At 36.9% G+C, this 27,321-nt stretch overlaps 1 protein-coding gene across 17 annotated transcripts in view; it reads right to left on the minus strand.

The window, feature by feature from the left end:
- The window catches only part of ENOX2 (ecto-NOX disulfide-thiol exchanger 2), a 280,885-nt gene that overhangs the window by 237,090 nt on the left and 16,474 nt on the right, over positions 1-27,321 (minus strand). For 3 of the 17 annotated variants that reach the window (XM_047441769.1, NM_001382516.1, XM_047441770.1), the window contains one exon: positions 26,669-26,796. The exons of 13 other annotated variants lie outside the window; for them this stretch is intronic. The gene's annotated coding sequence lies outside the window, so the exon portion shown is untranslated. Of the gene's footprint in view, positions 1-26,668; positions 26,825-27,321 lie in introns of all 17 variants that reach the window. One more of the 17 variants, XM_047441771.1, reaches the window with a different exon arrangement.

Raw genomic sequence — 27,321 nt, forward strand, 5'->3', positions numbered from 1 at the left:
AAAATGTTTAAGGCAAAAATAAAAATATGCATAAGGCAAACTGAAGTCCAGAGGAAAAATCAAGGAAGACTTCCTGAATGAGATAGTACCTGAATTGAGTCTTGCAGAGTAAGTAGGAGTTCACCTGGTGATGAGAAATGTAGAGGGTATACTTCAGGCACAATGGACTACACAAGCAAAGGCAAAGCCATGGAAGACAAAAGCAGCAGAGTGTGTATAAACTATAAATAGATTAAGTGTTTTGAGCAAGGGAGTGACAGAATCCAACTTGTGTTTGAAACATAAATGTCTGACAGGGTGGGGGATGCATTAGAGGAAATAAGGGAGGCAAGAAGACAATTAAGACACCATTGCAGTTTAGACAAGTAATGATGTGGTGCTTAACTAGGGATAAGGCAATGGCAATAGAGAGGACAGAAGAGACTGTGGTCAGTGGTCAATTTACTTAATTTTAAGATACCACATTCTTTTGATTTTCCTCCTACTCCTGCTCACTGGCCATTCTTTCTCAGTTTTCTTTGCCGGTTCCTTGTCTTCTCCGAAACTATTTTTTTTTTTTTTGATGGAGTCTCGCTCTGTCACCCAGGCTGGAGTGCAGTGGCACGATCTCGGCTCACTGCAACCTCTGCCTCCTGGGATCAAGCGATTCTGTTGTGTCAGCCTCCTGAGTAGCTGGGATTACAGGGGCAAGCCACCACACCTGGCCTAATTTTTGTATTTTTAGTAGAGACTGGGTTTCGCCATGTTGGCCAGGCTGCTCTCGAACTCCTGACCTCAGGTGATCCACCCGCCTTGGCCTCCCAAAATGCTGAGATTACAGGCATGAGCCACTGTGCCCAGCTTCTCTCCAACTTTTTAACATTGGATTAATCCAGGGCTCAGTTCTTAGATCTCTTCTCTGTCTTCACTCCCACGGATTTCTTTGGATTTAAAATACTATGTATGTGCTGAACACTCCTAAATGCATAGCTCTAGTTCAGACCTGTCCTCTGTGCTCCAGGTTTGTTTTCTCACCTAACTGCTTGACATTTCCACTTCGATGTCTAGTAAGCATCTCAAACCATCAAGTCTAAAACTGAACTCTTACATGCCAAGCTTACTCTACCTACAGTCCTTCCCATCTCAGTAAATGTAACCTCCTTCCTCAGAAGGAAAAAACTTGGGTTCATCCTTGACTTCCCCCTTTCACACACCATATCCAATCTATTAGCATATCCTGTTTGTTGTACCCTCATAATGTATCTGAATCTAACCACTCCTTTCCATTGAACAGTTTCCACCCTGCTTCCATCTACCACCATCTCTTGCTTAGATTACTGAAGCAACTTCCTATCTGGTCTCCCTGCTTCCACCTTGCTCATACACCTGTAATCTCTTTTTAAGATAGCCACAGCTTCTGCACAGAGAAGGAAACAAAATGAAAAGGCAACCTACAGAATGGAAGAAAATATTTACAAGCCATCTATTTGATAAAAGGTTATTATCACAAATAAATAAGGAACTCCTACAATGCAATAGCAAAAAATAATAATAATAAGTGAGCAAAGTACCTAAACAGACATCTATAAAAATGACCAGGAGGTATGTGAAAAGGTACCCAACATCACTCATCATCAGAGAAATGCAAATCAAAACCACAATGAGGTATCACCTCACACCTGCTTGGGTGACCATTTATCAAAACAACAACAATAAAAACAAAAGATAAATGTAGGCAAGGATGTGGAAAAAATGCAACTCTTGTACACTGTTAGTGAAAATGTATATTGAAACACAATACGGAGGTTTCTTAAAAAATTAAAAATATAACTACCATATGATCCAGCAATCTCACTTCTGGGTATAAATCCAAAGGATCTGAAATCATTATCTTGAAGAGATATCTACACTCCCATGTTCACTGCAGCATAATTCTTAATAGCCAAGCAATCTAAATGTCCATTTATAGATGAATGGGTAAAGAAAAGGTGGTGTACATACACACACACACACAACCAACCACACCCTAGAACAATTATCTAGTCTTAAAAAGAAGGGAATCCCGGCATTTGCAGCAACATGGATGAACCTGGAGAATGTCAAGCTAAGTGACATAATGAAATAAGCCAGACACAGAAGGAAAAATACTACATGATAGCACTATATGATGAATATAAAGTAGTCAAACTCATAGAAGCAGAAAGTAGAATACCAGGGTTTCCAGGGCCTGGGAGGAGAGTGAAATGGGAAGGTATTAGTCAAAGGGTACAAAGTTTTGGTCGCACCAGATGAGTAAGGCCTACATCTATTGTACAGCATAGTGCCTATAAGTTAACAATACTGTATGGTGTATTTTAAAAATTGCTAAGGGGGTAGATCTTATGTTAAGTGTTCTTGTCATATACACAAATAATAATAAATAAGAGGGTGGGAGGACAGTTTTGGAGGTGATTGATAGGTTAATGACATAGATTAAGGTGATGGTTTTGTGGTGTATACTTATCTCCAAACTTATCAAGTTGTACACATGAAATACATATAGCTTTTTTATGTCAATCATATACCAGTAAAGTGGTTTATACCAATAAAGTGGTTTAAACAACAAAAAAGACAGTAGCCAGCATAATCCTTTTAAAAACCACATTATATCACTCTTCTGCTCAAAACCCTCCAAGGACTCCTCATTTTACTCAAAGTAAAGCCAAGGTATTTACAAGGTAAATTACAATGGCAATTACAAGGTATTTACTTAGGAGCCTACAAGATCTGCTCCCTCCCTCTGTTATACTCTTGTGAATTAATCTCCTAGTACTCCCCTTGTTCATTCACTCTGCTCTAGTCACACTAGCTCCTTAAACCCTAGTTCCTTGAACAATCCAGACACTCTCTCGTCTGAAGGTCTTTGTGCTGGTTCTTTTTCTCTGCTTGAATGCTCTTCCCCCAGATAGCCGCTTTCCTCCAAATTCCTCCAAATAATTGCTTAAATGTCCCTTCTCAATGAGGTTACACTGAGCATCCCATTTAAAATTGCAACCTTTTTTCCCACCAATGCTTTCAATTCTCCTAAACCTGCCCTATTTCTTCCATATCACTAATTGCCTATATATGTATACATACATACATACATAATCACTTATCACCTTCCAGCTATATAAAATCACTTAAGACTCTGAGTATGTGTGTGAGAGGGGTGGGTGTATGTGGGTGGGTGTGTAACATTTGCCTATCTCCCCCTTTTAGAACCTAAGCAATAGGAAAGGGATGTTTTTTGTTCTCAGATGTATTTCTAGCACCTAAAACTTACTTAGCACATAGTAGGCACTCAATAAGTATTTGATAAATAAATGAATGAGTATGAAACAGAATCTGTGGTGGATGAGAAAATAGGGAGCAGCCACCTTAGTTTAACCTTAAGAAGAATAAGAGAATTTGAGAACAAAAGCCTATTTGAAAGGAATAACTGAGGGGCACAGGGAAGGCTAATCACAGCTTCCTTCTTACTCTGACCAATTCCTGAGCTACAGAGAATACAAAAGTGGTTTATGTCTGTAAAGCAATTATCTACATTTCCTGGTAGGACACAAAAGACTGAATAAGGTATACCTCCTATTGCAAGGTACACAGCACTACCCTCTCCCATTACCTCTAAGCCAAGATACCATGAAAACTCACCCACACCACAAACACAAACACATTTGGTTTGCCTCTTATAAAGCTTAGGCTAAAATGAAGTTTAGGGATGATCTACAGGTTTTAATTATGCATGTTTTCTCATTCTCCTTAACAAAAATAAGATTTATACCTCCAATGTCTAATCTAAACATGGACTCAGAATGTTAAAGCTAGGTGGGACCTCAGACATAAGCTAATCCAAACTCTTCCTTTTTCACTTATTAGTTTCCTTTTTGAGCACACAGATGTCTGTCTTTCCAAATGAGAAATGACTATTTCAGAAGTGTATCCCTTTTGAAATGTACATACACACATAAACTCCTTCTAAATATTATACATATCTTCTCCTTCCTCAGTTTCAAATAGGCATCTTGTGTTGTTATGATGAATAAAACACTTTTCTCTCTTGCCTTAATCCTTTCTTACTCTCTGTAGACAAGACAGGGTTATATCTTTTATTTTGAGTAAATGAGATATGGTTTATGAATCTAAATGAATACCTATAATTTTTGGATTTAGATAGAACAACCTAGACCTCATGAAATTAATTTAGTTAAAAATTGAATTTAAAGATCTGCTGCAAGACAGCATTGTTCCCCTTCCTACTAAATTACCATTCTACAAAAATGCGGATTCTTATAATTTCAGTTACTAAACTAAAATGTAATAGAAGTAAAGGTAAGAGGAAATATGAACTATGAGGTAATCTATAATACCTGTTTTTAAAATTCAATTTCTTACCAGTTTAGTCTACTTTTTTCTATTTCTGTCTTCAAATATGCACTAAAACCCATATATAGGGGCTACATTTAACTGTAGTTAGTATCTTATTTCACATTAACTTACATAAATTGAATAAAAGTATTGAAATTTAAGTGGAGTTGTTAATGTCAAACATTTTCTTCTGTCTTTCTGGGTGGGTTTGTAGTTGTAAGAGTCACTTGAAGATTAATTATCTCTTCATGTAAACCTCTTTTTCTCATTTGGCTTTTCGGTTTCTTCTCAGACTGTGTTTTAGTAAATATGTGTCTTTAAAAATCATATAGGTGTGAGTGTATATATATTTATATATAATTATAATCATAAATGTGATTACATATATGTAGTTTAATATATATGGGATATCATTTTTGAGATTAGATTATAAAATGACTCTGGCTTCTGTCTTGGGCAGTCTTTCCTGAATCACCCTCTCTGGGGTAGCCACTGACATTTCATGGGTTAGCCCTATGGAGAAGCCCGTGTGGCAAGGGTCTGAGGTCTGCCAAGAACCACCCGAGCTTGAAAGTGGATCCTCTCCCCAGTTCAGTCAAGCCTTCGGATTCAACCACAGGCTCAGTTGCAGCTTAACTGCAAGCTCACGAGAGACCTTAAGGCAGAGGAATTCAGCTAAACCATTTCCAGATTCCTGACACACAAAAACTGTAAGATAATGCTTGCTGCTTTAATGTGCTAAGTTTGAGGGTAATTTGTTACAGGGCAGTTGATAACTAATACAAAGTCCAAGCTCAAAACATAGTCATTGCTATGTAAGTAGTTTATGAGGGAATCCATACTGTTTCCTCCAGTAAAATCACCTATTTTCCTCTTGTATCCATTATGGCTACTCATGCCAAAACTGAAATAAACAAATCTACTTTAACAACTAAATTGGACATAATCTTTTGGCTGGGCATGGTAGCTCACACTTGTAATCCCAGCACTTTGGGAGGCCAAGGTGGGTGGATCACTTGAGGCCAGGAGTTTGAGACCAGCCTGGCCAACATGTGAAACCCCATTTCTACTAAAATACAAAAGAAATCCAGGCATGGTGGTGTGTGCCTATAATCCCAGCTACTTGGGAGACTGAGGCACGAGAATTGCTTGAACACGGGAGGCAGAGGTTGCAATGAGCCGAGATCATGCCACTGCACTCCAGCCTGGGTGACAAAGCAAGACTCTGCCTTGAAAAACAACAACAAAAATTGGACACAGATTTTTTTTTTTTTTTTTTTGAAATTAACGAATACACTGGTCTTCTGAAAAAACTTGCAACTAAAATTTATGAGCCAATACCAAAATAAGTTTAAACAAAAATCAGATTTCTTAATGACTGTGATTATAACTATTTAAATTCTAAAGTAGTTATTCATTTTGAGGCCAATACTGTTTGCACCATACATCCGCAGCAAAAGAATATATCCGATTCAGATGAAGAGCACAAACTAAAGACTAGAAGGTAAGGCTACCAGCAGGGTCTTGGTCTGTAGAATTATGCAAACAGACATATCATCTGCCTCCCTCTGGCTGCCTCATATGTGAATCAGCAAGGCTAAACGATCTACCTCCATCTTCACTGTGCATTTCAACAACACTGTGCTGGCTTCCAATAATACTGCCTGATAAGCAAATAGAGAGAATCAATATGTTTACAGAGGTTTGTATCTGAAGATGTTGCTCATTAGTTATTTTTCTTCAATATGCTTATATTTAAAAGTTTTGCACAAAACTTTCAGCATCACTAGCTAATTATACTCATTTATTGATTCACTACCATGTGCCAAGTACAATTCTACACACTTAGGAAACATCATTGAGTAAAATATACAGAGATCATTTAAGAGAGCTTTCACAGAGCTTACGTTATACATTAAATCTTCTATTCTCTGTGGAATTTGACATGGCTGATTTATATCTTCTTCTTGAAACTATGTCTTCCATTGGCTTCTGCAATCTGATAGGATTCTGTTCTAATAGTCTCCAATTGTTTTTTCAGCCTTCTTCAGGGGCTCCTCCTATCATATCCTAATAGCCGTAGATCCTAAGATTTGGCTCCTGGGCTCCTGCTTTATATAATTCATTTCCTCAAAAAACTCATTCATTTCCTGAAATCCAATGATCACCTTTCTATATGTGGCCTCTCGATTTTATATTTCTCATTCAAACCCCTATATAGTGATTCCCTATGCATACATATTTCTATTATGCAATCTCACACTTTCAACAAACAAGTTAATAACCTAGTCATCATCAACTACTTAAAATGGGTTTCCCTGTTCTTTCATTTTCTAACAATGGCATCACCATTCTCTCAGTCATCTAGTCTCAATATCAATCCTCTTTTCCTAATCAATCAAGTCCTATTCATTATACCATTAAAATATCTCTCATATCCATTACTTGCATTCCATTCCAGCAACTAGTTCCTCACCACTTCATATACAGATAACATTGTCCTGATTGATTTCTAGTCTTTCTATTTCCAACCTCTCATTCACACTACTTCTAGGTTAATTTCCATCACTTTCATCATGTCATCATCCTGAATCAGGAACATTTAATAGTTTCCCATTGCCAATAAAATCTAAATCCCTAATCTTGACTTTTAAAGCTCTCCATAATCTGGCTTTAATTTATTTATCCAGCTAATCTCTTGCTATTCACCAGTGCAAACTATTTACTCCAGCTGGGATGATTTCCTTACTGTTTCTAAAGCACATGATGCTTATGTTGGCCACTAGAACTCTGCTCATGCTGGTCATCATGCTTGGAAAGCTTGGCAAGCATCCTGTTCACTTTTTTGTTCTACAAAATCCTATGTATGCTCAAGTCTCTCGTTCCGACAAATCCCTTACAACTTTTGTCCACATTCTATGTTTTTAGAAACTTGGTTATCATCTACTGTCTATGTCACTCAATTTGGATCTTAGTCATATTTTTCCATATTTTGCTTTTTCATTGTCTCAGCTTTCTTATATTTAATAGAATTCTAGGCTACTTAACAGTAAGACAAGTTTCTTCACTTGTTAACCCCATTTTTTTTTTAGTAGTCTACCACAGCAGTTCTGAAACTCTTTGCTTTGGAACCCCTTTATAATTTTGAAAAATATGGAGGACCCCAAAGAGCCTTTGGTTTTTGTAGGTTATATTTATTAATATTTACTATATTATAAATTATAACTATGACTTGTAAAAGTAATTATTCATGTAAATATAACAACAATAAATCAAACACATGTCAACAGAAATAACATGTTTACAAAAATAACTATTTTCTAAAACAAATTAAAATCAATGAGAATAATGGCATTGTTTTATAATTTTGCAAATACTTTTTATGGAAGACAGCATATTAGAAGGCAGGTGGATTCTAATGTTTACTTCTGCATTCAATTCTTTGTGATATGTTTTTGGTTAAAATATATGAAGAAAATCTAGGCTCAGGTAAATATATAGTTGGAAAATGGAAGAACATTTGAATAGTCTTTTCAGATAATTGTAGATATTATTCTTTAATACTACATCAAAATTTAACAGTGGCAGTTAGTGGCAGTTTCTTTAGTGAAATGGGAAATCTGAATCTATATTAATGAACTTTTGGGGCTTTGTTATATTAAAACCACTGGTCAGTCTTGTACTTTAAATGGATTTTTCCCCAGGCATGATTTTACAACATTATTCATTGATCATTTGACAAATATTGGTTCACTGAGTTATGCAAATCTTCCAATGTTACACATTTCATTACACAATATTCTCAAATTAGTTAACATCATGACTGGCCTCATCATAGAAGTCTATTAGCATTGGTAAACTCTCAAGCTCATGGTGGCAGATACGTGTTCCAAAATTCTAATTCTAAATTTTAACATTGGCAAGAAATACCAGTTGTTTTCCTTAAAGTCACAGGCTCACTTTATTTTTGAGAAAATTACTGCCAAATACCCAGTGACACAGAATAGCCATAGTTTGTCAGTTGTTCCTTCAAGTAAAATTGGAATCCTATGTAAAAAGCTGCTAGTTCAGTTTGCAACTCAACCATACAAATGCTTTACCTTAAGACTTGCATAGGAGGATGCAAGGTTTATTGAAGGATGAATACCATTGTCCTTCAGTATGCATCAGAAGTGCTTTATGTGTTCTTCCCATTTGATACATAGAACATTTAAAAATGTACATAAAGGTCAAAATGTAATAAACTAATAATAGTTACTGACTTATAAAAGACATTACTGAGAATGGCTTTTTTTCTTAACTGTGAGTGTGCAGCAGTAAAGAATACAATTACTTGGAAGAGTCTGGCAATTCCTCAGATGACTAAACATAGAGTTACATATGATCCAGCATTTCCACTCCTAGGTATATTCTTAAGAGAAATAAAAACATATGCCCACACAAATTTCATAGAATTATTCATAATAGCCAAAAGATGAGAAATTCCCAATATATATCAATCAATAAATGAATAAACAAAATGTGGTATATCTAAACAAAATAAAGAATATAATTACTAACAAATACAATTTGGTGCCACTCTCTTAATTTCCGCCAAGGTACCAGTGGTTTTACCCACAGTTGCTTTTGCTCCATCAGTGAAAATGTCAACATGGTGAAAAAGACAAATAACATATTAGAATTAAATTGTTTTGACCGCTCAGACTCCCTGGAAGAATCTTGGGCTCGGAGCCCCCGGTGTTCATGGACCACACTTAGAATCACTGGTCTACACTATGCCTGAAACTCTTTCTTCTTTTACCATTATCTTTGGTCACTTCACTGGTTTCTTATTGGGCTCAGACCATTTCTCTTTGCATTGTAAATATACTATACGAGTGATATAATCCACATAAATGGTTTCAGCTACCACCTATAAACTAATAATGCTCCCAAATCTATATCTCTAATGCAGACTTATTTCCTGACCCACAGATCTTTATTTCTTACTGATATCCTAGATACCTCCAAATTAATACACCCACAATGTAATTCATCTTTTCTCCCAAATTTACTCCTGACTTTCTCATCTAGGGTATTGATACCTCTATTCATCCAGTCACTGGACCTAGAAATTTAGGGATCAACCTGAACTTCTTCCTCTTCCTACTCATAAAATGGTCAGCCCAGGCAACATCAATATGTGATATAATACAATAGGGTATTGCAGAGCCTAAGTCTAATTGGAGAATGTATGTTCCATGTAAGAGCATTCAGATTCAAATACTGTGTGGGCCAAACAAAACACATTTATTAGTTGCCAGTCTGTGACATCTAGTAACTAAAATATCTGTTTAATTTGTACCTTGCTTTTCATTTTTAGTGCCACTCTCCTAATTTAGATCCTCCATCATCCTGCTTGGACTACTGCAAATAGCCTTATAACTGATCTTTCTGCCTCCATTTTTCACAAATCCTTTCCCCTTTCCAACACATCCAGATTTATCTTTCACGAGGCAAACAAAGTAGTCTTTCTAAAATGCAAATCTGGTCACACATTTGAAACGCCAGCTTAAAATTCCAAAATAGTTCCTAATCACCTATTTAAAAATCCACATTCCTTAGCACAGTGTAAGCGTATAATCTGCACCTCCCAACTTATTACATCAACTTGGTTTTTCTCCACTTTCCTATCCACACACCAAACTCCAGCTACCAAACTCATGAGTGGAGGCCAGACTTCTTAATCATTCTCATGTGTCAGGCACTGTTCTAAATTACATATACCAACTCATTTAATCTTCACAACCATATATGGTAGGTGTCATTTCTAAGTCCATTTTACAGATGAGGAAACTCAGACACAAAGCCACATTGATCATTGGGAGGTCATTGACAGTTTTTCCTGATTCAGGATTCTGTGTCTTTGCAAATGCTATTCCCTCTGACTGAAATTCTTTTTGTTCTCTTTTCTAACAAACTTCCACCATCCTTCAAGACTCAGATCAAATATCATTCTTGAGCTACCTTCTCTTGCTACCTCCTTCCCCAGGTAAAGAAAGGTAGGTATTCCTTCCCACATTTAGAGCACAAAGTACATATTAAAACTTAACAGAAATAGGCACCTGCCTAAAATTTAGCACAGCATAACAGTGGCTTACCAGTAGTATGCAGGCCTTGCTGTAAGCAATATGCTGTATCAAGAACTACAAATTCTACTTTTTATGAAAGAGAGAGAGGAAGAAGGTGATGGTGAGTCTGTTCTTGCTCTCCCTTCCTATCCCCACTCACCTCAAATCACCATCACATCCCTTTGGCAGATAGTCCTTTAGAGATGATCCAAGTAAAAGCCATCACTTCCACATGTTGGAAGTGATGGGGTCTTATCTGGGGTCTTAAAATCTATGAGGCTTAAACCCACTTCATAATCCCTCAATAAGGTGATGCCTGTTTGGATAATTGGAACTGTCAAAATCAATAAGAAAAGTTTAAAAACAGTCATGACAAGCCACTCTGAAATGAAGAAACAACTGTAAGTCACTGATTACTATGATTTTTACAAAGAAAGCTATATCATCTTTCGTAAATTGAGCATTAAGGTATAAAAGCTCCTTATTCTCTAACACATTTAGAGTTTGAATACATGTAATCCGGCATCTTCTGCTAGGCAGGGATTTAATGAACATTTTGTGGGAACATCTGTTTGTTATTTATCTTTGTCTCATTTTACACATCAGCAAATCCCATTCTACCACCAGGACAGAATAAAAATCACCATTTCATTACACAGTGTTCATAATTTTAAACGTCAACTGGGGGGAAGAGAGGCAATTGTCGACACTGTATTCTACCTGATGTTACAAGGAGAAAGTACAAAGGTGAGGAAGTGCAGAGGGGAAATGATTAAATATATAAATCCCTTTAACACACACCTTGCCAATTGCTACTTGTTTTACTGTTCCAGCAACTGCTGAGAATTAAAAGCCACTCTATCTTTCTAGAAGGACATTCTTATTTTGCCCTCTTAAGTCTATGTCAACCTTTTTCTGTGTGTTTTAAGAGAGAAACAACTATTGGGCTTGCCAGGTATAGATCTTTGAATATTTGGGAAACAAGTGAGAGGGAGGGAGAGAGGGAGGGAGGGAGGGAGAGAGAGGGAGAGGGAGGGAGACGGAGAGAGAGAGACAGAGAGAGAGAGAGAGAGCTTCTATATTTTCTTCAATGTTACTATTCCATTGCATGAAGTCATCAAATAGCATTTCTATATGCTTCCACTAGTCGTTATGAGAAAGAGCCAGTATCAAGGCCATCAGGAATGACCACCAGTACCATGAGCTAAGGCTAGTGCAAAGAAGGGAAAGAATACTGCCAATTTAGTCCAAGTGACTAAAGCCATTACTGTATAACATATGCATCATAGTATCTACTTGTAAATTTTGCATGTTTTAAGTTAGATAGTAATATTGAGTGAAATCTTAATTGTAACAGTAATTAAAGGTGATTTTTCCCTAAATCCAAATATATTGTTCTATATGCCATGGAGAATACTAAACAAAGGAATAAGAAAGTCACAGTCCTTGCCTTAAAGAACTTGCAATCATTTCCTCCCAACAGTCATTTGTAGTACATATAAATCACTAGTCTTCTATAAGGGGGAACAAGTTTGGCACATACAAACTCACTAAAGAACAGGAGAATATATAACGCCCAATCAAACATTAGATTGGGTAGTACAGACAATAAATACTGCTGTAGTTCAAAGAAGGGGAAAATCAATGTAGGCTAGCAAAAGAAGAGGAGGCTTTCTGTGATGTACAGGATTTGAGTCAGGTGAGTTGAATACGATTTACAAAGGTGAAGGGCGAGGACAAACAATCAAATTAACTAATATTATGTGCCTTTATCCTATCCCAACACTAGAGTTCTTTCCCACAAAAGCATTTTGAAAGTCCCTCCCCATAATACCATCAAACAGGTAAAGAAAGAGATAAGGAGATGCACACATCTCCCTTACACCTTCTTTTCTAAGCCACCGAGGAACAGAAACCTCAGTTAGGAATCGATGCAGATATTTGATTCAAGTAATTGATGCTAAAATATGGTTAAGGGTTAACCTCACCATGAGACATTATATCTTAAAAGAGGAGGTCATGAATCAATACAGAATCTCTAATTAGTTTAATTATGTGGAAAAAGTATTTTTAAAGCTGGGCAAACCTCTTAGAAACTTTTTCTTCTATTTGTCCATTTTAGACAATGGTGTTCCTTCCCCACCCACTCTGCTAGAGCTTACAATATGCAGGATCACTGGGGGTAGCAAATGCCTTTCCTTTTATGTGCAAGAACTACTTTACCTCATTGGGCTCCTCAGTTTTTGGACATAGCAAATTGCTAATACTAGAAACCATCTGACAAGTTGTTCTAAGTAAGTTTCTATTTTCTTCAGCATTAGTTTTGTTCTGTTTTATTTTGTAAGGCAAAAGCACGTATTAAGCTATAGGAACTTATTTAAGGTTGCTTAAAAAATTCTCATGGATGAAACAGTAGTCATTTTTATTTATCTCAGTGATTTTCAGCTAGGCTGGTATAGCACTCACTGAAGATCATATCAGAATCTTCGAGAAGTCTTTTTCAAACTATGTCTCCCTATGTCTAATATTGCATGTTTCCGCATGGTGGCATATCTCTTCTCTACTTGATTTCAGCATCAGCCTATGTTTAATACTTACAAAGTATTACTTACCTTCATTCCTAACCTACCTCTGCATGGCAGATCATCATGCTAATGGAAGCAATGAAGGAAGGAAAGAAAAAGAAGGAAGCAAGAAAGACAATCCTAAGCAAAAAGAACAAAGCTAGAAGCATCACGCTACCTGATGTCAAACTATACTACAAGGCTACAGTAACCAAAACAGCATGGTACTGGTACCAAAACAGAGATATAGACCAATGGAACAGAACAGAGGCTGCAAAAATAATACCACACATCTACAACCATCTGATCTTTGACAAACCTGACAAAAACAAGAAATGGGGAAAGGATTCCCTATTTAATAAACGGTGTTGGGAAAACTGGCTAGCCATATGCAGAAAACTGAAACTGGACCCCTTCCTTACACCTTACACAAAAATTAACTCAGGATGGATTAAAGACTTAAATGTAAGACCTAAAACCATAAAAACCCTAAAAGAAAACCTAGGCAATACCATTCAGGACATAGGCATGGGCAAAGACTTCATGAATAAAACACCAAAAGCAATGGCAACAAAAGCCAAAATTGACAAATGGGATCTAATAAAACTAAAGAGCTTTTGCACAACAAAAGAAACTATCATCAGAGTGAACAAGCAACCTACAGAATGGGAGAAAATTTTTGCAATCTATCCATCTGACAAAGGGCTAATATCCAGAATCTACAAGGAACTTAAACAAATTTACAGGAAAAAAAACAACCCCATCAAAAAGTGGGTGAAGGATACAAACAGACACTTCTCAAAAGAAGACATTTATGCAGCCAACAAACATATGAAATAAAGCTCAATATCACTGGTCATTAGAGAAAGCCAAATGAAAACCACAATGAGATACCATCTCACACCAGTTAGAATGGTGATCATTAAAAAGTCAGGAAACAACAAACGCTGGAGAGGATGTGGAGAAATAGGAACACTTTTACACTGCTGGTGGGAGTGTAAATTAGTTCAACCATTGTGGAAGACAGTGTGGTGATTCCTCAAGGATCTAGAACTAGAAATACCATTTGACCCAGCAATCCCATTACTGGGTATATACCCAAAGGATTATAAATCATTCTACAATAAAGACACATGCACACATATGTTAATTGTGGCACCGTTCACAATACCAAAGACTTGGAACCAACACAAATGCCCACAAATGATAGACTGGATAAAGAAAATGTGGCACATATACACCATGGAATACTATGCAGTCATAAAAAAGGATGAGTTCATGTCTTTTGCAGGGACATGGATGAAGCTGGAAACCATCCTTCTCAGCAAACTAACACAAGAACAGAAAACCAAACACGACATGTTCTCACTCATAAGTGAGAGTGGAACAATGAGAACACATGGACACAGGGAGGGGAACATCACACACGGGGGCCTGTCAGGGGGTGGGGGACTAGGGGAGGAATAGCATTAGGAGAAATACCTAATGTAGATGATGGATTGATGGGTGCAGCAAACCACCATGGCACGTGTATACCTATGTAACAAGCCTGCACGTTCTGCACATGTATCCCAGAACTTAAAGTATAACAAACAAAAAAAAAGAAGAAAAGCGAGGAGAAATTTTTAAAAGCTAGAGGCACATACAGTACCAGCTTTCTACTTGACTAAGCTTTCAAATCCTGATTGAATGCTCTTCATTCTTAAGGACTAGCTTTCTATTCTCCATACTCTAACTAAGAAGTGTGCCAGGCTGTGTTTGTCATGTCCTAGAAAACCACTTGGTAAATACTTTGTTCCATCTGTAATTGAAAAACACATGACCTGACACTTTTGACACCATCTAGGGGATAGAGTGTGAGGGAATTAGAAAGGTTCTGCGGATCAATTGACTCCTTGGTAGTAAAGAGTGGGAAGAAAGGGCAAAAGCCAATAAGCCATCATCACAGGGTTGGCAGCACAGGTAATCACAACAGTGGAGGGGAATGGGTCAACTATGGAAATCATGTGGAACTATAGCTTAATAACCAAGAAGAAGCAAATGCAGAAACTAGTGCGAAGCAAGGGAATGAGATACAGAAGAAGGAAAGCAATGAAATAAAAGATAATACCCTTTTCAGGTGGAAAGGCCAAATTCATCTGTAACTCCAAAATCTCAATAAGCTCATCTAAAAGGATGAAATGCCACAAAGCCTATTTGTAACATTCTATTCCATTATCAAAAGGCATCTTGCTAGGATCCAAAAGAAAAAACAAAAAACACAACAACACATATACACACATACTTGTGCACCTATGCATATGCACATATCTGCATGCAAGGATTAAAACAGAAACATGTAGAGACATACACACAGCCACTCCCCGCCCACACAGACACTAACACCAACACATGCATGCCCCCCCCGACACACACAAACATAGGCATGTGTGCTCACTCCAGGATGGGTCTGAGTAAAAAGAAACCATCTCTGACCTAGCTAATTTTCTTCTTCAACTTGTTGTTCTTGGCTTCTTCACTCAGGAATAATCCCAATCAAATGCAAGAAGTGTGTGAGTCACTAAACAGGGCACTTAATTTTGGTTGTCTTATATTACATATTTATACCATGGAGATTCTGGCTACTTTTTAAAAAGTAGTTTTAAAAGGTATAGGTTTGGTTCTGAAGTGGTGTTACTGGTGAGAAAGGGTATAGGAAAACTATGTACAGAGTCACCTCTCATGGGATCTTATTCTAAGTGAGGTGTGTGCCTTTTAAAAATCAGTCACTCTCTATAAATTCAGAGTAATTGTTTTTGAAATCTAAGCTGGCTTTTTTTTTTTTTGCACAAATTGACACACTGATTCCAAAATTCATGTACAAATACAAGAAACCCAGAAAAACCAAAACAATCTTAAAGAAGAGCAAAGTTGGAGGACTCTCATTTCCTGAGATCAAAAGAGTGTGGTACTGACATAAGGGCAGGCATATAGACAAAACAGTGTGGTAACAATGTAAGGGCAGGCATATAGACAAAAGGAATAAAATTGAGTGTTCAGAAATAAACACTTATATTTACCTTCAATTAATTTTTGACAAGAGTGTCAAGACCACGCAACAGAGAAAAGTGGTTTTTCAAACAAATGATGCTGGGACATTTGGATATCCAGGTGAATACTATAGTTGGATCCCTGCCTCACATCATATACAACAATGAACTAAAATCGGATCATAGGCCTATATGTAAGAGCTAAACTTTGAAATTCTTAGAAAACATGAAAGTGAATCTTCATGACTTTGAAGTTAAGCAGTGGTTTATTATATATGATACCAAAACAGAAGCAACAAAAGAAAAAAAGATAACTGTGCTTTATCAAAATTAGAAATATTTTCAGACAAATGATATAATCATAAAAGTGAAAAGAAGGCCTACAGAATGGTAGAAAGTATTTTCAAAACCACAATAAGACACCACTTCACACCTATTAGTATAAAATAAAAAGAAAGGCAGACAATAATAAGTGTTGACAAGATTGTGGACAAACTGGAATGCTTATTTATTGCTGGTAGGACCGTAAAATTGTGCAGCCACTTTGGAAAACATTTTTGCCACCTCCTCAAAAGGTTAAACATAGAGTTACCACATGACCCAGGTATATACGCCTAGGTATATATATACCAAAGAGTAATGAACACATATGTCCACATGAAAACTTATACATTAATGCTCATAGCAGCATTACTGACAATAGCCAAAAATGGAAATAACCCAAATGATGACTAGATAAACAAAATGTGCTATGTCCATACAGTGGAACATTACCCAACCATAAAATGGAGTGAAATACTGATTAGTGATATAACACAGATTAACCTTGAAATCATTATGCTAAGTGAAAGAAGCCAGATGAAAAAGGCCACATATTTCATGATTCCATTCATATGGAATGTCCAGAATAGGCAAATCTATAGAGGGAGTAGATTAGTAGTTGCCTAGCACTGGGAGTTGGAGGAAGGGAGTATAGGAAATTGGGAGTTAAAGGCTAAGGAGATCTGGGTTTACTTATTTTGGGGGTAACAAAAATGTTCTAAAATTAGATTTTTGGTGAGGGTTGCACAACCCTGTGAATATACTAAAGATCACTAAATTATACACTTAAAATGAGTAAACTGTATGATATGTAAGCCATACATCAATAAAGCTGTTAATAAAAACAGTCACTCGGAGCACATGATGATTGTTTTCCAGCATTTGAAGGGCTACCAGTTGCTTGGCATAGCAGCAAGGGGAAGTAGAATCAGGGTCACCACACTACATAACTCCTCAATTTATTCTGTAGGTTGTGTGGATGGTACTATGTCTAAGAGTAGGAGCTGAATAGAGGCTGAAAAGAGATTTTGGCTTATTTATGCAAACATTCAATAACTTGAGCTATTCAAAAATCAGATTTCCTACCGTATACTAGAGACTGTTAAATTATTGGGAGTATCTAAGCATAAACTGGATTGACCACTTGAGGATGGAGTAGATATAGGGAATAGATTATGTATGAAAGGGAGTGAGGGAAAATGACTTGATAACCTTTAAGGTTTCTTACAACCATAAAATTCTTTTAAAATGCTTATATTACAAAATCCTTCTGAACTTTTATCTATAAACCTCCCTTTTCTCTTTCTTAATAATTTTCTCATTAGCTGGAAATAAATGAGTACTTACATATTCCCACTAGAGTCATAAGTCCCAATAGTCGTATTATTATACGAAATAATAAAACTTGATGCTGTGGTTTAAGCCATTTCTAATATTTATATGCTGTTTCTGGCTCAATCATTTAGCAAAGGGCACATCTACTGGATTGCTCTTTCCTTAGTCTGCAGGTTTAAGGGTAGCATTTCGTAAATGTTAGTAAGAACAACATCCTACATTGTACTTAACACTGATAATAGTTAATGAATACAAATCATTCCGTACTCTTTTATCTCCTTCCTCCCTCTTCTGTCCTTTCCCCAGATATGGAATAGGCAGGCTGTTGATTTTTACAAGTTGCTTCCAAAGCTCCTGAATGAACTATTTGTCTGAGCGTTTTAAATATTTTGGCTTAAGTCCATGAATGCCATAAGAAACTGGCACTCCATTTTGCAATGCTTTTCTCTCTGTCAATAACTTTAACTTGGGATCATAAAGGGAAAGCATTTGGCAGGTGGTCCATTATGATCTAGATTTAAAACCTCATGGGGAGTCGTCTACTCCATTTTACACTTTACTGGGAATGATTCCGATACTGAAAAGAGAGAAGTACAGATACTATGAGAAAAGCTGTTTATCCATCACCTGTTTCACAACAGCAAGGGGCAGTTTACTATCCTGGGAGGGGCAGCTTATCAATAGTGCCCTGAGGATCAGAAATGGCTAAAGAGCTTCAAATACTTCCCTCACTGGATTGGTCAAGTACAGGCAACACAATACAGTAGGTGCTAGCTAAGTAGTGCTGGCTGACTTATCCTGGCTCACTGACATGTCAAAAATCTCCAATGGAAAACATCTGCAATGAAATTGTACTCATTGTCCAGCTAGTACACCAGAGCCTTACTATAAATCCCAACCTCAGTGTTCATGCCTTGGAACTGTGTTCTAATGTTCTAACATAGCCCTTCTGTTACTTCCAGTAATAAATCCATGTGGAGATGGTCCAAGAAGGGCATTGCCTTAGATCATATTCCATGTTAGAGTGAGGTTCTTCTCTACAGCTTATGCTTCATCTGGCCTTAATGTGAGGCCAGCCAAAGAAATGTTCTGGAGAGTTTGCTTCGGGGTGGGGTTTCCTTTTATTTTAACTAGCTGTTAATATTTGACAAAACAATTATGTCCTTCTCACTTCAATTCCTTCAAACCATTTCTTCTCAGACCATTTCTTTCCCTTCTTGTTAAATGCCTCACAAAGCCCATGGGTAGGGCACTCAGGGAATACTAGTTGAGATGGGGAGAGACACTACTGGAATTCCAGGCTCATCCCTCCAGTGGTCATATTTCTGCCTGTGCTTATTCCTTTTTCCGTGAGACTATGCTCTTTATTGCTCACTCCATTCAAAAGAGCCGTGAGTGCCAATATTCACGAACTACTCAAGCTGTCTTTATCATATTTACTTTGTGTCCTACCTTCATAAACCACTCTCCCTAGATTCCTTAAGCATTTCAATTGCTCTTTTCCATTTCAAGCATCTCAGTTCCAGAGAATGGAAACTTGGGCATAGTCTTACTACCAATTAAAAAGGGATTCTCACTACTATGCTCTAAGTTATTTGTCCATATCCATGTCAGTTACTCAAAACCATATTGGCTTTTAAAATGATGTATCACATTGCACACTCTTAATATAGTTTACTATCCCCTGTCACTTGTAGATGTATAAAAGCATGAATCAAAATTACTTTTGATGTTTTATATTTATTTGTTTGATATTTATAACCAAGACGAAATGTAAAATGCCACCCATAAAACCTTTCCAGAATAGTCTGATTTACTTGCAGCTTATTGTCATTTTTATTAAATATGGATTGTCACAATTATTTTACGTTCCTCATATTCCTTACCACAAATTGAGGTGAATGCAGATTGTACAACTTCCAATGAATAAGCTGGGCAAATTTCCATGACTCAGCAGAGTGTGTAAGGCTTGTGGTTCTTTGCAATTCCTGTTCCACCTCCAAACCCCACGGTCAAGGTTTGGGAAAATGCCAACCATGTTTGGCAGCAAGAGTCAGCAGTCTCTTAGACTGCTGGGCAAGCGAGTGGCAATAAGTAGAGTGTATAAAGAATCTAAAGAAGGCTTTCTTTACAACCCCTTAGTCAGAAGCCCTCTTAAAACACATCCCAATTCCTGTTCAATACACAGCTAGCACAGGAAGTGTTTTCTTTACATTCTCCCATTTTACGCAGATCTGGGATTTTTATGAGGGAACATCCTAGTACTGATAATCTCTCTTCTCTCTTCCCTTCTCCCTTTCTCTCCCTCCCTCCATCCCTCCCTCCCTCCCATCTTATCTCTTCAACACCCATACCCACAGAGAAACAGAGTAAGAGAATAGGTAACCATTCACAATTATGTGTATAAGTAAAAAGCAACAGGAATGCAGGCTTTCTAAGAGCAGTGTTTCTGGAGACAGAGCTCTAGACAAGTTAGTGGTATATATAGTCTCGGCTAAGAAGAACAACTTCTTTATCATTTATTGAGAGTACTAACAAGGATTAAATAAAATAATTTATGTAAATATCTTAGCATAGTCCTATAGCATACCTTTAAAACATATTTCCCTTCTTCTCTACTCTGGTTTAAATTAGGAAGGATCCTGATCAGAGTGAACTTTTTTTACTGAAAGCAGAAATGACTGGTTTCCTAAACAAAGTAAAAATGTCACTGAAAATTGTAGATGTAGTCTGGGGGAAGGGAGAGGCAAGAAGTTAAAATTTTCCTTTAGATCCAAATGGGTTTTCTCTTTACACATTTCTCAAAACTGTAGCTGCGATACTGTCTCTTTAGTCCTCAAAACAAAAGAACCTATATGCAGAGTGCTCCAGGGTGGCCCTGAGAGGCACTTTGAAACACCCGTTTTGAACTCCTCTAGGCAGTTCAGTGAGGTTGGATACAACAATGAATTCTGGGAGTGAGTTTGAATGGTACAAAAAAGCTGGGGAGGATGCCTGCTGTCCATTAAAAACAGAAAACAGAGCCAAAGAAAGTGAAGAATGGAAAGAGAAAGAAGGGAATTTCAGGATGTGCTAAAAATTTTAGCAATTGAAAAGTATACAAAGAACTGGGATCTAGGCAACAGAGGGCAGGTCCAGCAGGCATAGTTACTTACCATATAGTTTCCATAGATAACAATAGTCAAGGACATTACTCTATCCATGTATTTTTTTTTCCCAGTACTTTAGAAATTTGACACTGGGTTCTTTTTAAAGCCACCAAGTACAACTAATATACTTGATGAACTCCACACAATAACAAAACATAAAAGGACCTACATTTATATCTCTTTATGTACAGACTACATTCCATTTCTGATCAACTTCTTCCAAAGTATTAATGCTATTTTAAATAACAAAATAGTCCTGAAAGGAATATACTACTGGTTCAAAAAAGATTTACTCGCGGAAGAAATGGAAGCTGAAAAGTTGTGAGTCATGAGTGGCTAAGGGGTTGAACAATCCAAAAGAAAATAGTGAAAGGGACTATGAGAGCTAAAATGTATAAAAGTGTCTATGACATAAACATTGAAGGTAGGAGCTCTTCTGATTAACTCAACTTTCTTATCCCTAGCTCAGAAATCAAGACTTAACAGCCAACCCTCAACAGCAAGCCAATATGAGAAAAACAGTACTGATGAGAAATGCAGAGTGCAGCTCGCATTTAAATTTAGTTGAGATCATAATTTGTCAAATCCCTTCTGAGGATAACTCACTTTAGGCCGTTTTTAAAATTTAAATTATCCATAAAAAGAAATGCTTGTCCTATATGTAAAAGGAAACAACATTCCAGTTTGATTTCCTGTTGATACAATTATCACTGTGGCCATCTAGACCTGTAAGAGAATTACTCCTTCTGGATAGCCAAACCTTCTTGAGCTGCACTGACGGTACTACATCCAGTAGCCACATGTGATTATTTAAATATCCATTTAATTAAACTTAATAAAACAAAAAAATTCAGTTCCTCAGTTGAAGTAGCCACATTTCAATGCTCAATAGCCACATGTGGCTAGTGGATACTGTGTTAGATAGATAGTAAAGATACAGAATACTTCATCATCTAACACAGTTCCATCAGGCAGCACTGGGTTAGATATCAGGAAACTAAGACTTTCAGTGTTCGAACAAAATATTCAAACCATTTTCAGGATAGTTTTTCCACAGTGTAATTAATATGAATATCCATAGAGAATACAGATCAGAATTTAGCATTTTTGCCTTTGAACAGTGGTTCTCAAAAGTCATTCATACAGGAGAATTATCTGGGGAGTTTGCTAAATGCAGATCACTCAGAGTGATTCAGTAGGTCTGGGATGGGGATTCAGAAATCTACATTTTACACATGTCTTAGGTAACGCTGTCACAGGTAATTCCTAAACCACATTTTGAGAAACACTGTGATTATGCATCAAAAATTCCAATTATCACTTTACATATACCGATTTCTTTTCTTGAATGGTATTAAATATGTGTACATAGGCAAGCCCTTATCGCTATACAAAAGTGCAAAATGTTCCACAAAGGCAAAAGACAGCTTTCAAAGTATAGTAGCTCTGAGCGAGGATGAGTATAGAAAAAAAAAATTAAGAAGGTACTTGCACTAGGAAAAAAAAACTTTTGAACAGAATATTCCAGAATACCTATGCAAAGCAGAAGCAATTTAGCCATCCAGCTTCAGAAACTCATGCTTCGGAACAGCTCGGAACCTTTAGCTAGCAGAAGAGGAGAAAAACCTCTGGTGGTGCAGCTGCTGAAGGTCTGAATACTGCATGTGAGTGCTAACTGTGTGCAAGACACCAGGTTATGTGCTAAGAGACAAGTAAAATATGGTCATGACTTCAAGAACTCAGTCTATTGGGGGAAGACAGACCAAAAATAAATATTAAATACAGTAGCAGGTATAATTTGAGTGGAACCTTAAATATTGAGCAGCTCTACGATCGCTGGAGATAAGGAAGGATGGCAATTGAAATGTAGAGAACAGTATGGAAAGGCACAGGAGCTTGAAAATTTGGGGTGTACTTATGACCCAGAAGTGGTCTAGAGTGGCAGGTAAATAAGATATAGAGAGCGTTGTGTAGTGGGAGATAAGAGTGTAAGGGAATTCTGAGTGCCTGGGACAAGGCTATGGATGGCCCTGAATGTCTATTTGGAAAAAAAAAAAAAAAAGCAAAATCCTTTAGAGGATTTTTAAGGAGAGGAGTGATAGGATAAGATCTGCATTTAGGAAGAACATTCTAACAGTTAGGCATAAAATGGAGTCGGGAGAGAGTAGACACAGAGAAGATGTGTGATGTTTGGCCATTTGGCTGCATGGAAGAAAAATTACACTTTGGCTGTCAATGTTTCTTGTTGCAAAAAGCTGAGAATGGAGAGAAGCAACAGATTATGAAAGAGACCTTAAAAGCAAAGCTGAAAATCTGAAGAAAGAACATGAGTAGTAGCAATGTTTAGAAATTCCTGGGGATGCAATGTTCCCCTTCACTTTGTCAGTAAAGACTACCAACGATGGGGGTTGGAAAGAAAGTAAAAATTTTTAATAGTCTGGTCAGCAGACAGCTCTACACTGTCTAGGTCTTTTGAAGTCATGAACAATGGGATATCTGCTCCGGGTAGCACACAGGTGGGCAAACAGTTTCTTTAATAAAGAACCCCTAAAGACATACAGCATACTCCACAGTGGTTAAGAGCATTGGCTCTGAAGACAAACTTGCCATCCAATATTGATTCTTGCTACTTAGTAATTGTGTGACGTGGTAGGCTGGATACTTAAACTCTGTATCTGTTTTTCTAACCTGAAAATGGAAATACTACTGTCTACCTTATGGCATTGCTGTGAGCGTTGATGAGTTCATACATATAAGGTATTTATAACATGATCTGGCACAGAGCAAGCTTTCAATAAATGTTAGTTTGTTTTTTGTTTTGTTTTGTTTTGTTTTTTTCTGAGATAGAGTTTTGCTCTTGTTGCCCAGGATGGAGTGCAATGGCATGGTCTCAGCTCACTGTAACCTCTGCCTCCCGAGTTCAAGCGATTCTCCTGCTGCAGGCTCCCACGTAGCTGAGATTACAGGAACCCACCACCATGCCCGGCTAATTTTTATATTTTTAGTAGAGACAGGGTTTTGCCACGTTGGCCACGCTGGACTCGAACTCCTGACCTCAAGTGATCCACCCCCCTCGGCCTCCCAAAGTGCTGGGATTACAGGCGTGAGCCACTGTGCCTGGCCAAATGTTAGCTATTCTTATTATTGTGTTTATATATGGCTGGGGAGACACACACTCAACTGTACTATGCTCAATAATGTCAATCAGTATAGTTTAGCAGCCCCATTTGCAGTATACTATCCTACATAAATAGCATGCCTTAATTATTGTATTATTCATAATAAGCATATTAAGTCCTTTTTGGAAAAAGGCAAATATGAATAAATTTTCGAATTTGTTAATATTCTTGGTGATCCCCTTAAATAAGCTAGTGCAAGCTGGCTCCAGCACACCACGGACTGGTGTATACTAACCTTTATATTCCCGTCCATGAGACCTGCCCTTCACTCCTCTAAAACACGCTCATAGGTGTACCAAAGAGGAAAATCCATCAGACGACTCAACTTCAGCTCCCTGAACAACCAGAACCTACAAATCTCCCTCTTGAATTTTTCTTGGCCTCAAACAAGACAAGGAAAAAGTAACTATTTTGTAGATGAAAGACTTTTTCTTTAGCCAATAAGAAAATGTCAATTTCTTTAAAAGCCCCAATAAATTCTTTTTCATTTATATTCAGAGTGCCTATTCCTAGAAAAAGGAACACAGTGAGGGATGTTAGCCAGAGCTTCCAACTACGTAGGACATTTGCCACCTGAAACCAAGTTTAATATGGAACTTCCAATTTCATGCCTAGTTTGCCCAGTTCTCCTTCCTCTAATCCTGATCTGTTCCCCGAAGTTCCCACCTGTATTTTTTAAGTGTCAAATTCATTTAAGTCTAAAGAATGATAAAAGGGCTTCATATCATCCTCCTTTCTTTTTTGCCAGAAGGAAATAATATGAGGACAGATTTACTTTAAGACATGTTAAAATATAAAGATACCATCTTAGATAAGGGTAAATTCCAATTACATGGTATCTGAGATAATATATTCATTACCATCTTAAAGTCTCATAAACAGATTATAACAATACTTGCTCTATCTCTGGCCCATTTTCTTATCAACATTCTCAAATGTTCATTGTCAAATGCTGAAGAAGAGTTGTCTATGGCGTGAACATCGAGTCATTAATCTAGTACACGGGACAGTCTCTAATAAATTCAGATATAAAAATGGCCCCTTCAAGAATGTTTACTGAAGGGGTCCTAAAGAAAGTTTTACCAGAGAGCTTGTATGAGCCATTCAAGTAGTTGGGTTCATTTGATGAATTGATAATGTGGCTTTAAATAGTATTCCTTTCTTCAGTGGGACAAAAAGCATTTTTTCCCTTAAAACTAATTAATTTAAAATTGAGAAACCATTTGGAAATTTTAAAAGATAAGAATGCTGATCTATGAGAGAGAGAGAGAGAGAGAGAAAGAGAGACACAGAGACAGAGACAGACAGAAAGAAAGAAAAGTGTGAACCTGAATTAGCTGTATATTTTTTCTGCTGATCTGGACAAAATACTCAAATTTCAAAAACATATAGCACTTCACATTCATAGCCAGTATATCTTAAAATACATATACTTTCATGGAAACAATCTTATAAGTTCATCCAGTACAACAGTACAAACAAACTAGCTTTTTAGAAGAGAAAATACTCCATACTAACCTTTTGGAATAGACAACATTTTGCTTCCCCAAAATTTCACAAAGCTCTACTTTCATTCATATTGATGTACACATTAATCAAAACACTAGTGTTTCTTACACATCTGTAAAATTAATCTTGAAATCACACACATATTCAAATAAATGCTAGACTAAAAATAGTTTTGAAAACATCTCTAGCGTCCTATCCAAGAATACATTTTTCAGTAAATGACCAAATTTATCCTCCTTCTCTAGTAGCATAAGTCACATTTACCTGGCACCCATCAACCGAGAGGCAGCCTGATATCAGGGAGGAAAAAGCACAGATTCTTTAATCAGATAATGTAACCTGTAAGTTTAGGCTGCACTTAGATGGAGACCTCAGGCCAGTTACTCATCCTGAGTCTCAGTTTTCTTACCTATAAAATGGAGATCATATCACTGACCTCACACTTACTGAGAATGAACTAAGAAAGTATATATTAAATCACTGTCTAAATGTTTTATACCACATCCACTATCATTCAGTAACCAACAACTACACTAATATTGTAATTTTTAATAGAGTAAAACCATTAAGGAATTAAACATGTATTCACTATTAGCATACAAATAAAATACAGTCATAAAAGCCACCTAGTTAGATTTGAAATTATTCATTAGGTCACTGTGGAATTGAGAGCTGGCAAGGAGATAATGTCGTTTTTAAAATGTAAACATTTTTATTAGCAGAGAGAAGTTCTTCCCAGATATAGTAATTCCAGTAGCATAACAAAGTCCAGCATTTTTCATTGCCAGAAACTTAAACCAGTAACACTGGTCCATGAGAAATCTCTATTTATTCAACAAAGCAATATTTTCCATGTAAATCTATTTAATTTTATAGTGGAGAAAATAAGACAATCTCTGGTTTTAACCGTAAGAAAAAAGCCTCAACAACTTCTCACATTAAAATGTACACAGAAGGCTCTTCTAGAGTCAAGCATGCATTGGAATACAGAGAAAACATCCAGCAAGCACAACTTTCCAACACTTAGCAGAACCAACCAACCAATACTCAAAGAAGAAACTGAAGCTATAAATTCAAATAAATGGGCTGCAGGGAGACTACACAAACCTGCTGTTGCTTTAATTGCAGACAATTCAATTCAGCAGCTGTTGGTCCAGGCACTAAGGTTCACTGTATGCTCTTCAACGTAACCTTGAAATATTGTCACTCACTCACTTCTCCACATCATCTGCATGCTGTCCAATTAATGAGGAGCGAAATCAACTGTCAAACCACGCATCAAAATAGAACATGATCTTTTAGCTGTTAAGCGTAGGAGCATAATATTTTAAGAATAATAAAGCAACAATGGAGATGAAAGTCCTTGACAACAAATGATATTCAAACTTATCAAAACAACGTGGTTGTAGGAACTAAGCTTCTGTTCTGTGAAGCAAGAAAGTGAAACTTTCTCAGGGTTTTTCATTTGCAAGGGACCTTTCTGTCTAACTGCTGTGTAAGAAGCCTTTCAAAAAACATTCGCCCATACCTGATCAGAATCTTCTTCATTATTATGGACCATTATGTTTCTGAAAGCTTAAGAGAATACTTAAGAAACACTTTTGATCCAAGGATATTTTACAATACAGATGGTTTGGGGCTCGTATTTGTAGCTTTGCTGTTTCCAGCACTTTTTTTTTTCTGTCAGGAGAATAAACAAACAACAATAATATATAATGTTCATCAACCTGAGTTCAGTAATGAAAAATAACTAAATTTAC

The sequence above is a fragment of the Homo sapiens genome, chromosome X (assembly GCF_000001405.40).
Source record: "Homo sapiens chromosome X, GRCh38.p14 Primary Assembly".
NCBI classification, from domain to species: Eukaryota; Metazoa; Chordata; class Mammalia; order Primates; family Hominidae; genus Homo; species Homo sapiens.